The sequence below is a fragment of the Homo sapiens genome, chromosome 1, assembly GCF_000001405.40.
Source record: "Homo sapiens chromosome 1, GRCh38.p14 Primary Assembly".
Classification (NCBI taxonomy): domain Eukaryota; kingdom Metazoa; phylum Chordata; class Mammalia; order Primates; family Hominidae; genus Homo; species Homo sapiens.
This window is the reverse complement of record NC_000001.11, coordinates 26,745,667-26,762,755: the sequence shown is the minus strand read 5'-3', so window position 1 is coordinate 26,762,755 and position 17,089 is coordinate 26,745,667. Positions and strand designations below refer to the sequence as shown.

Genomic DNA, 17,089 nt, shown 5'->3' with positions numbered 1-17,089 from the left:
ACTTCCAGAAGAAGATAACTTCCTTTCTATTTCCATGCTCTGTGTAAGATTCTCAACTTTTGATCAGCCTAGGGCTGCAATTTTGAGCAAAGATCTATTCCATTATGACTTATTCACTAAAAATAATTAATAAAAAAATAATAACCAAGAGCTACCATGTATAAATTGTCTGTGCTCAATGGTGGAGTAAACACCTAATCTCCATTTTTATAAATGAAACAGAGGCTCAGTGAAATTGAAAGACTTTCTCATGGTGACAGAATAAGTGGAGACAAATGGAATCTTGCCTTGCCCTACTTCAGGGCCTGGGCTGGGTGGATTAAAGGCAAAGGACAGCCCTTCTCTCACAAGGTTACAAGCTAGATGGCAACATATCAGACAAGGAACTGTTTTCTCCTCTCACCCGTATCTACTCCTAACTGGGTAGTATACTGACCTTGTGGGCCATACTGACCCCCCTGGGGACCATAGCTCCCCATGGAGTTCTGCTGGTAGGAGCCCATGCCTGTGTGTATCTGTCCTCCGGAAGGCTGACGCGGAGATAAGGCTGAGCCGGGCTGGGGGGAACTGTACTGGGGCATCTGGGGGTTCCTCTGCATATAACCTATTTGTGGGTAGCATCCATATAGTTATTAGCTTTATACAATGCGAACAAATGCTCTCCATCCTTATCCTGGGACTTTACCATCTACATTTTCTTTAGCAGCCACTTGCATGGAGTCTCTATCTGATTTTCTATATAGTGGTGTGTCATTTTAGGCACCTTCAGAGTGACATGAACCATTAACCAGGGCATGCCAGCTGTTTCTACTAAATGGAGGTTTGAAAAGACAAAGAACAATGACAAAAACCAAAATGAATGACTTGATGAGTGAAGACCGAACATTGAGTCTTCAGCAACTGCCGACCAAATGAGGCAAAATGTAAGGGGGCAACCATCAAAACACAGACAAGTACTGTGAAATGGAGACATTAACACGGCCAAGCCCACTCTAACTTCACAATTTGCTGCTGGGTCTCAGCACAAAGAAGTAATAAGTGTTTGAGATTATATATCTGCTAATTACCCTGATCTGATCACTATACGTTACTTCTATTGAAACATCATTATGTACCCCATAAATGAGTACAATTATTACGTCAACTTTTAAAGAATATAAAAACAATTTGCTGCAGGGATTGTCCTAAGCTTCATGGTCAAACAGCTCTCCAAAAGCTACTGCATAGGGCACTCAAATGTCTGCCCTAGCTCCCTGCCCCTCCCCAACACCCAGGCTCTCACCTCGATCTTGGGCAATGCTTGATTGGTTCATGGAAGGATGCATGATGCTGTCCGACTGGCCACTGGGTGGCCGAGGTGGCATCTGGTTGCCTGCTCCAGACAAAGAACAACATAAGCATATCATGGCTAAGCCTGGGAATTCTAACTAGGAAGTTAATTCAGAGCTAGAAATGGCTCATGAAGAGGCCAAGTACCTCCCAGTATCACACACAAAGAGATCCAGCCAACAGGTTCCAATCTCCTTCTCCAAATGCTAAGGGGAAACTATGCAGGCATGAGCCAGAGATGCTTTCTCTGCCAGTGGAAGACTAGGGCTCCTTAATATTACTGGGGGCAGTCACCTTTCCCTCTCCCTAAAGCCCAGCACTTGAGGGTACCTGGCACTGCAGCAGGCGAGAGTGGTCCTGAGCGAGACTGAGCAACACTGGCGGGAGAGCCAACAGGGGACGGGGAAGGGCCTCGGATGCCAGGCAGGTGAGGGGAGGTATGAGGAGAGAAAGGAGACTGAGCTGGATTACTCTGCTCTCCTTGGCTGCTGGAAATCCCTGATGTGCTCACTCCAGGACTCAGAGCTCCTTCTGTCCCCATGGGGAGGTCATCTATTGAACCAGATAGATCCTAGAACATATATATAAGAACATGGATTAGTAATATTAGGCAGAAAGATTCTACTTTCAATAATCCTACTACTTGCTTAGCATTTTCCTTAAACAACCAAGAGCAAATACATCACACACGTTCTTTAGTCATGATACTATTTTTATTAAAAAAAAAAATTTTTTTTTTTGAGACAGTGTTTCACTCGTTGCCCAGGCTGGAGTGCAATGGCACGTCTCGGCTCATCGCAACCTCTGACTCCTGGGTTCAAGCAATTCTCCTGCCTCAGCCTCCCGAGTGGCTGGGATTACAGGCAAGCACCACCACGCCCGGCTAAATTTTTGTATTTTTAGTAGAGACGGGTTTTCTCCATGTTGGTCAGGCTGGTCTTGAACTCCCGACCTCAGGTGATCCACCCTCCTTGGCCTCCCAAAGTGCTGGGATTATAGGCGTGAGCCACCGCGCCCGGCCCTAGTCATCATACTATAACTTACATATGGCAAACTCTGTTAAGGACCAGGTGGAATATATATTAGACCTTTGTGGGCCATAAAGCCTCCTTCAAAACTACTCAACTCTGACACTATAGTGCAACAGTAGTCAGACAATATACAAACAATGGTGTGACTGAGTTTTGCTGACTCCTATTCTATCCCCTCAGAAGCAGATCTAGCACTTTTGTCTTCTTTCCCAGTCATAACTTCTACAGTCATAAGAAAGCAACTATTTCAGTGAGGCTTTAGTTCTTTTCTAATAGCAAAACTTTACAAAATGCTGCCAGGATGGCACCAGGAGCTACAAGAGAATGTTAACAAGTTTGGGAAACATTTATAGATCCCCTCTCCTTCTATTATATATTACAATGATGATTATTACTATAGATTATCACAGCCTCCATTTGCCAAGGACTCACTCCAAGTCACCATACTTTGCAACATAAGGGGTAGGAGGTAAGAAAGAGAGACATTGGATGAGAAAGACAATTTCTTAACTGCCAAGAAGGTCTGGGACTACACTCCTAACACCTGGTCTATAACAGTAATCAACAAATGTTTGCCAATTGAACAAATTCTGTTTTTTTCCCAGCTTTTATGTTTTTCAGTGAGAACTTGGTATTTGTTTGTAGGCTTTGCTTGTCTTCAGTTAATCAATAAAGAGTTCACTCTAGGTCAACAAACTCCAGTATTAGCAAACAGGAGCTCAATATGAAAAATATTCACCCCAGAAAATGTACCCTAACTCCATCCCCTGCCCCATGTTCATTCTCTAGCAACATTACTTCAGGCTGGGAACTAACTGTAATTGAAGAAAGGATGAAAACCCTGATACTTAAATGGTAAATAAAGAGTTCTCTTAAAGAAACACACTGGGCCACGCGCAGTGGCTCATGCCTGTAGTCCCAGCCTTTTGGGAGGCCGAGGCGGGCAGATCACTTGAGCCCAGGAGTTCGAGACCAGCCTGGGCAACGTGGCAAAAACCCTGTCTCTACTAAAAATACCCCCAAAAATAAGCCAGGTGTGGTGGTGTGCAGCTGTAGTCCCAGCTACTTGGGAGGCTGAGGTGGGAGAATCACTTAAGCCCAGGAGGAGGAGGCTGTAGTGAGCCGAGATTGTACCACTGCACTCCAGCATAGGTAACGGAGCAAAACACCATCTCAAAAACAAACAAACAAACACACAAAAACAAAACCGAAAACACCACACATCTCAAGGAGGAGGAGATCCAAGTTGGTTTGATTTGAGTCTATTCCTGCTCACACAAACAAGCTCACCCGGGAAAGATCGGCTGAAAGTGACTTTGACCCTAAGATCTGACAGTTAACACTGGAGGTCAGAGGGCAGCTTTTAGGCTCTCCTTCAAGTATCCAAGCTGGGTGGACCTTCCACAAACCACTTGGGTACCTCATTAGGCTGGGAGCATTTCTGCTGAGCTCTTGGAGACAAAGTTTGCTCTGAAGGCAGGTAGGTAGGTGTGCATTTGTGCCTGTGTCCAGCTTTCCATGTTAGCTGAGAAGTCAGAAAATGCTAGCTTTCTTGTTGGTAAGAAGTAGGCCAGGTATGCCATAGCATACTTTAAAAATGCAATGAGAATTCGTTCCAGCATAGAATGATTTCAAGAGGCCAACCACAAGGTAACAGCAAAGGACATCCTCCTTTCTCGAAGGACTAAAGTACCTGGAGCTATGAAGAGCCCCATGTTAATCCCAAGATAGAGGGATTACATCCTTGGTTCTTCTTCTTCTTTTTTTTTTTTTTTTGAGACAGGGTCTCACTCTGTTACCCCAGGCTGCAGTACATTGGCATGATGCCAGCTCCCTACAGCCTCAACCTGCCCAACTCAAGTGATCCTCTTACCTCAGCCTCCTGAGTAGCTGGGACTACAGGCACGCACCACCACATCTGGCTCTGTATGTGTGTGTACAGGCAGGCGCCACCATGTCTGGCTGTGTTTGTGTGTGTGTAGAGAAGGGATTCTGCCATGTTGCCCAGGGTGGTCTCAAACTCTTGGGCTCAATCCTCCCACATTGGCCTCCCAAACTCCTGATATGATAAGCATGAGTCACTGTGCCCAGCCCCATCCCTGTTTTGATGGCTAAGTTATACCATGGACATCTAGCCTCTGAGCCAAGAACAAACTAAAAGAGGCAGCAAGATGACAAGGAGAGCCACTGTAAGTAGAAAGGGTCTCAAGAAGCACTCGTTAGGCCCTACAGTCTATATAGCAAATTCCACAGCTCAATGCTGTTTTAGGGACCAGAAGGTTCCCTCACCCACTCCTTCCTACAGTCTCCATTCCTTATCAAACTGCCAGCTTCTGGTAATAAGAACTTTCCTGCTTACAGGAAAAAGAAGTGTATTTCAGAACAGAATAGGAATCAGGGATCCATCCATCAGACGAGAACTTGGTTCAGTTCAAATCGCTTTGAAAAATTATATGTTGGCCAGGCGCAGTAGCTCATGTCCGTAATCCCAGCACTTTAGGAGGCCGAGGTAGGCGGATTACGAGGTCAGGAGTTCAAGACCAGCCTGGCCAACATGGCAAAACCCGGGCGTGGTGGTGGGCACCTGTAATCCCAGGTACTCAGGAGGCTGAGGCAGGGAGAATTCCTTGAACCCGGGAGGTGGAGGTTACAGTGTGCCAAGATAGCACCACTGCATTCCAGCCTGGGTGACAGAGTGAGACTCCGTCTCAAGAAAAAAAAAAAAGTTTTGATTATTTTTGTCTTTATACAAGTAAAACATGAACATTCTCATGATAAAAACATTTCAGATATTACAGGTGAAGCCAAAGTCTCCGACACCAAAGTTCCCCACAGCTGTCCTTCTGTTGCCCTCAACAGAGAAACCACTGTTCAATTATTTGGTGCGTATCTTTGTGCGTTTTTATTTCCTTTTTTTTTTTTTTTTGAGACGGAGTCTCACTCTGTTGCCCAGGCTGGAGTGCAGTGGCGCTATCGCGGCTCACTGTGACTTCCGCCTCCTGGGTTCACGCCATTCTCCTGCCTCAGCCTCCTGAGTAGCTGGGACTACAGGCACCCGCCACCATGCCCGGCTAATTTTTTTTTGTATTTTTAGTAGAGACGGGGTTTCACCATGTTAGCCAGGATGGTCTGGATCTCCTGACCTCCATCCGCTCGCCTCAGCATTTTTTTTTTTTTTTAAGAGACAGGGTCTCCGTCTGTCGCCTAGGCTGGAGTGCAGTGGCATGATCTCAGCTCACTGCAACCTCCACCTCCCAGGTTCAAGTGATTCTCCTGCCTCAGCCTCCTGAGTAGCTGGGATTAGAAAAATTAAATGTTTTGTTTTGATCATTTTTGTGTCTTGTTATACAAGTAAAACATAAACATTCTCATGATAAAAACATTTCAGATATTGGGCCGGGCGCAGTGGCTCACACCTGTAATCCCAGCACTTTGGGAGGCTGAGGCGGGCGGATCACAAGGTCAGCAAATCGAGACCATACTGGCTAACACGGTGAAACCCCGTCTTTACTAAAAATACAAAAAATTAGCCAGACGTGGTGACGGGCACCCATGGTCCCAGCTACTCGGGAGGCTGAGGCAGGAGAATGGCGTGAATCTGGAAGGCGCAGCTTGCAGTGAGCCGAGATTGTGCCACTGCACTCCAGCCTGGGCGACAGAGCGAGACTCCGTCTCAAAAAAGAAAAAAAAAAACATTTCAGCTATTATAGGTGAAGCCAAAGTGCCCCATGGCTGTCTTTCTGTTGCCCTCAATAGAGAAACCGCTGTTCAATTTGGTGTGTATCTTTGTGGGTTTTTTTTTGTGTGTGTTTTTTTGTTTTTTTTTTTTTTAAAGAGACAGGGTCTCGGTCTGGGTCTGTCACCCAGGCTGGAGGGCAGTGGTATAATCTTGGCTCACTGCAACTTCCACCTCCTTGGTTCAAGTAATTCTCCTGCCTCAGCCTCCTGAGTAGCTGGGATTACAGGCGTGCACCACCACACCCAGTTAATTTTTGTATTTTTAGTAGAGACGGGGTTTCAACATGTTGGCCAGGCTGGTCTCGAACTCCTGACCTCAGGTGATCCGCCCACCTTGGCCTCCCAAAATGCCGGTATTACAGGCATGAGCCACCACGCCTGGCCCCCCGGCTAATTTTTAAATTTTTTTGTAGAGATGGGGCCTTGCCATGTTGCTCAGGCTTGTCTCGAACTCCTGGGCTCAAGCGATCTGCCCTCCTCAGCCTCCTAACGTTCTGGGATTACAGGCATGAGCCACTGCCCCTGGCCTTGGTGTGTATCTTTGGACATGTACTGAAGCGCTAAGAAAAAAAAACAAAAACAAACAACAAGAAACAAAACAAAAAACCAAAACTTGGCCAGGCGCGGTGGCTCACGTCTGTAATCCCAGCACTTTGGGAGGCCGAGGCAGGAGGATCACGAGGTCAGGAGATCGAGACCATCCTGGCTAACATAGTGAAACCCTGTCTCTACTAAAAACACAAAAAAATAGCCAGGTGTGGTGGCAGGTGCCTGCAGTCCCAGTTACTCGGGAGGCTGAGGCAGGAGAATGGCGTGAACCCGGGAGGCGGAGGTTGCAGTGAGCCGAGATCGCACCACTGCACTCCAGCCTGGGCAACAGAGCGAGACTCCATCTCAAAAAAAAAAAACCAAAAAACCAAAACCCACCAACCACTCCTATCAGCTCAGGGCAAGAACTGAGGAGGTCCTTTCAGCCACACTTTCAGTTAAAAAACCAGGCTCACCATAGATCCAAAAGGAGAATGCCCCTGGTCCACCTGAGGGATCCTAGGAGCCTAAAGAAAACCTCTGTAGCTCTTGGGGCTGGGGTCTCAGAACTCTGGAGGCATCTGTGGCTGGCAAAGAGGTGGCTTCCCCTTCTTCAGGAGAGCTGTCACTTTTGGTAAAGTGCCCTGAGCTTCTTGGAGAAAAAGTGCTAAATAAACCACTGTCAACAGTAGTCCCACCTGGCTGGGATGCCTGGGTATAGAAAAATACTAGGGAAGGAAGAGCATTAATCTTCTTATCTCTCTGATTTGGTTGGCTTGAGGCCAACCTCTCAAACTGTCATTTTCATTAGATGGCAACTGGTCAGCATCAGATAGTTGGTTTCAAATAATTTTAAGAGCCAAAATGTTAGCATAGAAAGGGGTAAATCATTTACGATTAACTACAGCTACCATTTAAGCATCTACTATATGCCAGACACTTAGCAAAGTTACCCAATTTTCTACAAGTCTTGGTTATAGATACTACTACCATTACCATTTTGGTTTTGGTTTGGTTTTTTTTGAGTCAGGGTCTGGCTGTTACCCAGGCTGGAGTGCAGTGGCACAATCTTGGCTCACTGCAACCTCTGTCTCCTGGGTTCAAGCCATCCTCCCACCTCAACCTCCAGAGTAGCTGCGACTACAGACACCTGGTTAATTTTTTTTGTATTTTTGTAGTGGTGGGGTTTCACCATGTTGCCCAGGCTGGTCTCAAATTCCTGAGCTCAAGCAATCCTCCTACCTTGGCCTCCCAAAGTGCTGGGATCACAGGCGTGAGCCACTGTACCCAGCCACATTACCAATTTGAAGATGAGGAAGCTGATGCCTAAAGAGATTGGATTACATGCTTAGGTCATCTGGCAAGTGGTGGAAGCCAGATTTTAAACCCGGGACTGCTGAACCCCATAGGCCATGCTGGCTTTCTCTCTCCATTATGTTGTGACACTATATGAACTGAGGAGAAAGGTCACGCCTCTGAGTTAGGAAACCAAGGCCCAGCTTTTGGTACTTATCAGTTGTGACCTTAGGCAAACTGGCAACAAGTCAGGCTTCAGTTTTCTCACATATACAATCAGAGGGGGCTGGATAAATCTAAGTCTATGACACCCCTGGGGCATATGCATGAATCCCCCCTAGCACCATATGGTCAGGGTCAAACGACCAGCAGCAATATTCTGGAATGAGAGATATAACAACATACCAGCAATATAAGTTCTAAGACATACCCACCAGTCCCAGTGGCTAGTCATAGTAAATATTTTTATTGGGAAATGGGAGGGAGTGGTAAGGGCAGAAGTCTCCAAAAGATGTCCTGCCCCTCTATCTACATGAACAGATATTGCTCTCAGCTCCACATCCTTTTATTACACAGGACACACCTCTGCTTTCTACTCTACAAAAAGCCAGTTTTTCAGGTCTTTTGTTCCACAAAAAGCCAGATGTCTGATTGTTGAGTCAGACCTCAATGTTCCTAACAGTTCAGTTTTCTACAACACATTTATCATTAATAAAAAGTTCAGTCGGGCCAGGTGTGGTGGCTCATGCCTGTAATCCCAGCACTTTGGGAGGCCGAGGCAGGCAGATCACAAGGTCAGGAGACTGAGACCATCCTGACTAACACAGTGAAACCCCATCTCTACTAAAAAATACAAAAAATTAGCCAGGCGTGGTGGCGTGTGCCTGTAGTCCCAGCTACTCGGGAGGCTGAGGCAGGAGAATGGCATGAATCCAGGAGGCGGAGCTTGCAATGAGCCGAGATCACGCCACTGCAATCCAAGCCCCTATTCTCCCTGGTGAGGGATGCCCTTGGCATCTCAGGACTCTCAGGTTCTCAATTCTCCCAAAAGAGCACACCTAACAGGCATCTTCTGGAAGGACTGCGGAAATAACTGTAGCAATGCCCCTTTAATGGGAAGATTTCTTTTCCCGGGTTTGTTCTCCTCCAAGTATAATCCTGCTGAGAGATGGGAGGTGAGGATCAGCCCACTCAGTGCCCTACCAGTTCCAAGGAAGCAGCAGGGCCAGGAGAATTTCCTCACGTGTTTCCAATGTGTTTTGTGCATTTTATTGCTCATCTACCATGCAGATCAAAAGCGCTGGAGCAGATCCAACTATTTCACACAGAATCTCACACTCCAGGCTGGCTACAGCCCTGAAAGCCTTCATTTCTTCAGTTGAAATACTGCCCAATGTTATTTTGGGATGTGACCTGATAGAGGAAGCCCATAGGGACTCCATGACGATAACCGTCCCAGCTGTGATTGGTTGCCCAGCCCTAGTGAGTGCCAGCATGAGTTTGTCAGGCTCTGCTAACAAACAGAACTCAGCAGCTAAACACCTTCTCTTCACACCACAACAAAACCATGCCTGAAATCACACAGTCCATACCTTATTTTGTGGGGTAGGGACGGTGGGGGTGCTGGTACTCTCACAGGAAGAACTGCAAGTTCTAAGATGAATTGGCTGCCCACTGAAGAATATTTTTAAGCAGGAAGACACCAGATCAGGGTTAGAGGAGGGAAGTTTAAATTATCTCCCAATAGAGCCACATGAGGATGACATCAGTTCATTTTGCTGAGCAGGTTAAATGGCAACAGGTTAAGTATAAAGAATAGGCTCATGGCAATGCTCAGATTTAGGGTTTTCCCATAAATCTGGCTAAATCCTTGGGGAATCCCAGATGGAGTTCTTGTACCCATTTAGTTGGGAAAAGCTTTTGCTGAGTTGTGCTGATACTGGCAGGTAAACCACCCGTCATGAGAACCAGGTAAATCCTACGCACATGCCTGTAGTAAGTGTGTGCACTGGGAACCTTGCAGCTCAGCCATCCCCACTTAAATGACAATACTTGAATAAAAAATTCCATAATGACCAAATCTACACTAGTAATTTGTCAGTCCCTTATCCCCGCCCCGCCCCTAGGCTGCTCTCATGCTGAAGAATGGGAGGAAATCCTGAAGAACACAGAAGAGACTGGGAAACATAACCCATGAAGAAAAGGAAAAGGTAGGAGAGGAGGCAATAGCCTTAAACTCTAAGGAAGAAAAACTGAGACAAAATTAATTACTTAAGGCAAATAAGTTTTTGGGAGACTTGGCTTTTCATAAAACCTTCCTTAAGCAACAACTTGTTGAGGGTAGCAGAGGAGAAGGGACTACCTCTACTGAACACTTGTACAATAAAGTTTCAGTCATAAGTTCTTTTTTTCTCCTTAGTCTTTGCTATAAATGTAAGAAAGAGAAATTTGACCCACCCCAGACTGGTAGGGACTCCAAAAGTTACAGAACTGCTGTGACATTATTCCACGGAGTGGTCTCAATCCAACAGATTAACTGCCACCTATGCATAGAGAGCAGGCTTGCTGATGTTAACTGAAATGCCAAGAAAGAATCAACACACAGAATAGGCTGCCTTTCACACCCGGTGGTAATTCCAGGTCAGAAGTTAATTAAGCAGGTACTAAGGAACGGGAAGAAAAGATGCAGAGGTTGACACTACCCTTTTAGTGTAGGACCAAGCCCTATCACCTACATGGACTACCTCCATGGTTTGGAACAGCAGAAACTACTCCAGGAAAGGTTTAGAAAAATGTGTTTCCTACTTGCCCCCGTCAAGTTTCCAAAAACTTGGTTTGTATCTTAGAAACCATTGCATAGGATGAAATCCCCCACCAAACTCCCTCTTCTCTTTTTCTACATAGGCTATTGTTCTGAAGATAATGATTCATTCTTCCTGATACCTTTTGGCCACCTGACGGGGAAGACACAGGAGAGAAGGGTTAAGACTCTTCTTGTCTCCAGAATGCTTTTCAGGGGCCCGTCTCCAAGAGGAAACTCCCTATATACACATCAGAATTCATAAAGAAAGCTCTGGAGACCAAATCTCCAAATACAAAGGATGTTAGATAAAGTTAATAAAGTTCCTTTATATATTCCTTTTGAAAGGAAGCAGAATTGACATGAATATGTGACTATCACATATTCAACCCTAAGGTGAGTGGTTGACTCTCATTTAATTTTCACAATCATCTTCTGATATAGGTATTACCCCCATTTTAACAAAGAAGCAGGTTCAGAAGTGACTTGCCCAAGGACAGACAGCTATTAAATAGACCTGAGGTTCAAATCCATTATTACTTTACACTCTTTCCATAAGGTATTAATAGAAGCTTGACATGATCAAAGGCTGGGTTCCATGCTCCAATAGAGGTAAGGCCAACAACCTATATCACCAGACATGCTGCGTGATTAGCTACTTGACTCAACTGGCTAACCTCACGAGGCTCACTTAACTCCTTTATTGAAGGAAAGACTTACACTAGATAATCAAACTCTACAAATCTGTGATGCTATGTGTTCCCCTGTCCTTTTTTTTTTAGACGGAGTTTTGCCCTGTCCTCCAGGCTGGAGTGCAGTGGTGCAATCTCAGCTCACTGCAATCTCCGCCTCCCAGGTTCTAGTGATTCTCCTGCCTCAGCCTCCCGAGTAGCTGGGATTACAGACCCTCGCCACCACGCCCGGCTAATTTTTGTATTTTTAGTAGAGACGGGGTTTCACCATGTTGATCAGGTTGGTCTCGAACTCCTGACCTCAAGTGATCCACCCGCCTCGGCCTCCCAAAGTGCTGGGATTACAGGTGTGAGCCACCATGCCCGGCCCCCCTCTTTCCTAATTACTCTTGCTATAACTTTCAGCCTTTATTTCAAATCAGCCCTTTCACTGATAACCTTCAACTTCAACCTAATTTTTCTATGCTAAATTAAAGGGTACAGTACTTTTTCTCACCCCTGGGTTTTCTGTAGGGTACTTAATGTGTAAGAGGACAGAGGGCTGTGGGGAGGGTGACTTTGAATGTAGGGAAACAAGCAGAAGTCCCATGAAGGTAGAAGTCCCATGAAGGTAGGAGCCTGGTCTCTGCTGGGTATTCAAACTGAATATGTTCTAAGCCTTTTATCAATCACAAGGGTGTGGCTCACAGAGAAAAAAAAAATCAAGATATTCCTGGCCTCTAGATGGCCTCCTCTTAGGCCACTTCAAACCCTCACACTTTCCTCCTCACCCAGCACTGCAGCCACCCTTCCAAACTGCAGGATGTTTGGGTTTTGTTTAGGGACCCCACTCTCCAAGCTACAAGACGGGAAGGCTCCTTTCTAGAGGCTTTAAAAGCCAAGCAAGCTTCAACCCTCTGGCCACAGAGGTGCTCCAACAATAGGGCAACTGAGCTCTCCTTTCACACACATCAGGCTGGCTGGTTTCCCAACCACCAGAGTAGAATTGGCATTATAGGTACAACAACTAAAGGCTAAAATTGTTTTTTAGCCTTGGGAACTTCCAAGATGAAAACAGTTTTGTGGAGGCAGTGAGGAATCAGAAGCCTCCATGCTCCAAGCAGAGATCTGCTAGCCATTCTATTAAACCATCTATTTTGACCCAAGTCACAGGACTAGTTCCCTACTCTCACCCTATAGGCAGGGCACAGAGTTCCTCTGAGGCTCCTCTAGAAGCAGTGTTACAGGACTGATGGCACTGTGTTCTATCCGCCCTTTTTCTCCACTAGCCTGTGGGACCAGAGCAAGATCAGGCTATTAGTGACCAGAAAGATGCCAGACACACAAACGACAAGATGCTTGATAAATGTTGCTCAATGAATTATCTACTCAAAAGCATCCTCTTTAGACACAACCTCTATTAGTCCTCTTTCTTTCCCTTAATCTCTATTCCCCCATCCTATACCCCAGTACCTGAATTCTAGACCTCCACAAGGGAGGGGCTCTTGGGTGCTGGTATCAAGAGAATTGATTCTCCTGTTTAAAACTCAGAAGTACAACCCCGAATGGGTTTTGGCAACTTGGTAAGAGCTGTTGCTAGAACTGCAGCAGTGCAGAAAAGGAATGTCTGGAAAGGAGGCTGCCAGAGGCAGGGCTCTGTGTCACTGGAGAAATTTCAATCTAATTGTGAAAATACGAGAACGTGCTGTTCTAACCCACCTCTGCAAAATCTCTTGAGGCAGGTCTGACCCTCTGGGTGGAGGCTGAGGGCACTGCTGAGGTAAAAAGGTGGGGAGAAGAAAGACTGCTGGGCTGCTTGCATTCCTGTGGTGGTAGCCCCTGCAAACAGCGGCTGGGTCACTGCAGCAGCCATTGATTTTCCAGGGGTCGATATTCTACTCCTACAGATCTGCTCAGCCGGAGGTTTAATCACATCGAGTGCTTCTGCTCAACATTTCCCCTGTCGCTCCCCGCCGCCCCCCAACAAACAAATAAAACAAACACCAAACACAATGAGAACTGGCAAAGGATAGATGAGAAGGTGCTCCTCACAGCTGTCCCCTACCCCCGGAGAAATTCTAGGCACCAGCTCAAAGGGAGTAAATCCAAGAGAGAGCCAAAGCTACACGGGGCAGTCCACAAGACACTGCAGGGACAGACCCACAGACCCCAGAGAATTATTATTATTATTATTTTTTGAGACGGAGTCTCGCTCTGTCACCGAGGCTGGAGTGCAGTGGCGCGATCTTGGCTCACTGCAAGCTCTGCCTCCCGGGTTCACACCATTCTCCTGCCTCAGCCTCCCGAGTAGCTGGGACTACAGGTGCCCGCCACCATGCCCAGCTAATTTTTTGTATTTTTTAGTAGAGATGAGGTTTCACCGTGTTAGCCAGGATGGTCTCCATCTCCTGACCTCGTGATCTGCCTGCCTCGGCCTCCCAAAGTGCTGGGATTACAGGCGTGAGCCACTGCGCCTGGCCGAGAGTTTTCCAAAAATAAAAATAAAAAAAAAGATGATGATGATGATTCTGGAACTCCCATAGGCCGCTAACTGGTTGAAACCCTGCTTTTCAGTTTGTCACAGTCCCCATCAGGCCTGTATAATACCATGTTACCTGCCCGACCAGTCACCCTGCCCCCCAAAGGCTTCTGTCTTATCCAGTCAGTAACCACTTTTTGGCCAAAAATGTATGAAGTGTTTTGAGGGTCACTAGTTAATAGACTCAAATCTGACAAAAAAAAAAAAAAAAAAAAGAATCTGGGTCAGAGCTGGGCCTGAGTTACAGCAGCCAAGAGCAGTGCATATTTATGGAATAGGGCTGTTCTAATCCCAGCAGGAAGTAAGAGCACTGTAAAGCTAGAGAAGGCAAAGAAGTTAGGAACCCCCTACTTTCTCAAAGCCAAGCATTCCCTGTTAGGAAGGTCAACCAAACAGAGTTTGTTCTATTATGAAGATCATCAGCTATAATCTTAGAACTTGAGTAAAGAGGGCAGGAAAGGGGAGTGAGAGGAAAGGAACACAGAAAGCAAGCAGAGTTCTGGGTATGAGAAGTGTAATAAGGAGGGGGTGTTGCCTTAGGCTTCCACATCATCTGGCTCTCCTCTCTACAGCAAGCCTGGTTGCCCCTCAGAATTACAGCAACCAGAAAGCAAGCAAGGACAGCCAGGGAAGGCAAAGTTGGCACTGTGCTGAACATGGCTTAGAACTAGGGGCTGGATGGCCTCCTTGGTTTTGTAAACTCTTAAATTTATACTTGTCAGTGGTCTTCCCTACCTTAGCCTACTGGTCTATATAAAATCCAAATATTTAGGGGGAGAGGGTGGAACAAACAGATCTGAGAGTGAGAAATGGATAGAATCTTAAACCAGAATACAACCTCAAAGGACTTTGAAAAGAACAACTCTGAACACAAGGGAGCTATAATCAAGTTCTAGAAAATAAGAGGGATAAAAATCCAAATATTCTTGATAATGGTTCCTCTGAACATTGACCTATATTATTTGTTTGTTTTTCAGATAGGGTCTTGCTCTGTCACCCAGGCTGGAGTGCAGTCGTGCAAGCATAGCTCAATGCAGCCTCAAACTCCTGGGCTCAAGCGATCCTCCTGCCTCAGCCTCCCAAGTAGCCAGGACTACAGGCATGCACCACCATGGCCAACTATTTTTTTTTTTTTTTTTGGTAGAGATGGGGATCTTGCTGTGTTGCCCAGGGTGGTGGTCTCCAGCTCCTGGCCTCAAGCAATCCTACTGCCTCAGCCTCCCACACTGCTGGGATTACAGGTGTAAGCCACCACACCTGGCCACTGATCCCTTTCAGTCTAAATTTGGTTTCTCTTACCTTCCCCAAAATGTCAGGAAAAATTACCTCCACCCATCTCCATCTCAGTAAACAATATTCAATATTCTTCCCACATCAAAGCTGGCCTTAAGGGACAGGTTCGCTGACTCTCAAGATTAAGCCTTCAACCCCTAGTTCCCACCTTCAACAAGGCATGGATTCTTAGCTTCTTTGGGAAAGGTCAAATGGGAAGGAAGCTAGCAGCTTGGAGGTAAGCTCTGCCTCAAGGCAATCAGATTATGTCACAATACCAACCAATTCTATGCTGATAACAGGCAGGGAAGATGAAACACTTTCAGGCCATCGAGTAGGGGGATTAGGAGACCAAGCACTGGTCCCCAGAGGGATGGCAACAGAATACATATCGATTTCATCACAGCTTTCTAGTATGTCGTAGACACAAAGAAAAAAACAATAGGGCTAATTCTACGCTTGATTTATCAGGTATGGTGTTGTTTTTTTTGTTTGTTTGTTTTGTTTTTTTGACACGGAGTCTTACTCTGTCACCAGGCTGGAGTGCAGTGGCGCGATCTTGGCTTACTGCAACCTCTGCCTCCCGGGTTCAAGCAATTCTCTCCCTGCCTCAGCCTCAGCCTCCCAAGTAGCTGGTATTACAGGTGCCTGCCACCACACCCAGCTTATTTTTATATTATTTAGTAGAGATAGGGTTTTACCATATTGGCCAGCCTTGAACTCCTGACCTCAGGTGATTTGCCCGCCTTGGCCTCCCAAACTGCTGGGATTACAGGCGTGAGCCACCGCACCCAGCCCACACCCAGCTAATTTTTTGTATTTTACTAAAACAGGGTTTCACCATGTTGTCCAGGATGGTCTTAATCTCCTCACCTTGTGATCCACCTACCTCGGCCTCCCAAAGTGCTGGGATTACAGGCGTGAGCCACTGCGCCTGGCCAGATATGTTAACATAGCTCCACACCTACAGGTCCTCCCCTCTGGGCCAAGTTTGAAGAAACAGATTCTCACCTTGGCTTAAAGGACCCTAGTGGTTTCTACAAAGATAGTATTTCTGGGTGGACTTGGCTCATTTTCTGTTCAAAAGACCCAAGTCTCCCCAAGGGCAGACATGAAACAGCTAAGCAACCAAACATCTGGGGGCTGGTTTTCTGGATTTTGGTTGATCTTTTTGGACAGAAAAGCACCAACAGCAAAAGAAAAGGCAAGGGGGAATAGGTGAAGGTGAGCCACTGTCACTACAACAACTGAGTTCATCCATGATGACTAAGGAATATCAGGACATTCTAGTTTTTGAGAATTCTTCCTTTCAGAGTAAATGCTTCTTATATCCTTCTGGAGAACAGAACTAAATCCAGAAGCTGTAGTATCATTAACTTTGCCTAGAAATCTAGAAATCTCAACCTCATATCTGTTCATAACTCCTTCCCTTTCTCCAAAGAGAATACGGAAGGCAAAGTCCATTTTCTGAATATGGCATTTTTCCTTTTCTATTTTTTTGAGACAGAGTTTTGCTCTTGTTGCCCAGACTGGAGTGCAGTGGCACAATCTTGACTCACCGCAACCTCCGCCTCCCAGGTTCAAGCGATTCTCCTGCCTCAGCCTCCCAAGTAGCTGGGATTACAAGCACATGCCACCACGCCCGGCTAATTTTGTATTTTTAGTAGAGACGGAGTTTCTTAATGTTGGTCAGGCTGGTCTTGAACTCCCAACCTCAGGTGATCTCACCGCCTCAACCTCCCAAAGTGCTGGGATTACAGGTGTGAGCTACCGTGCCTGCGGCCTTTTCTTAAAGGATCTTTTTGCTGGTCTTGTACAGGAGTTGGTCCTAACAGTAAAAGCAACAGTAGAACCACTGGACTAGCAGTCAGAGAATCCAATGTTC

At 46.2% G+C, this 17,089-nt stretch overlaps 1 protein-coding gene across 2 annotated transcripts in view; it reads right to left on the bottom strand.

Annotated features, from left to right (window-relative positions):
* The window catches only part of ARID1A (AT-rich interaction domain 1A), an 86,090-nt gene that overhangs the window by 19,349 nt on the left and 49,652 nt on the right, over positions 1-17,089 (bottom strand). For both annotated transcript variants that reach the window (NM_006015.6, NM_139135.4), the window contains exons 5-7: positions 1,660-1,900; positions 1,283-1,372; positions 437-604 (exon numbers count right to left, since the gene is read on the bottom strand). In NM_006015.6, the coding sequence (NP_006006.3) occupies positions 437-604; positions 1,283-1,372; positions 1,660-1,900 (499 nt within the window). The remainder of the gene's footprint in view (positions 1-436; positions 605-1,282; positions 1,373-1,659; positions 1,901-17,089) is intronic.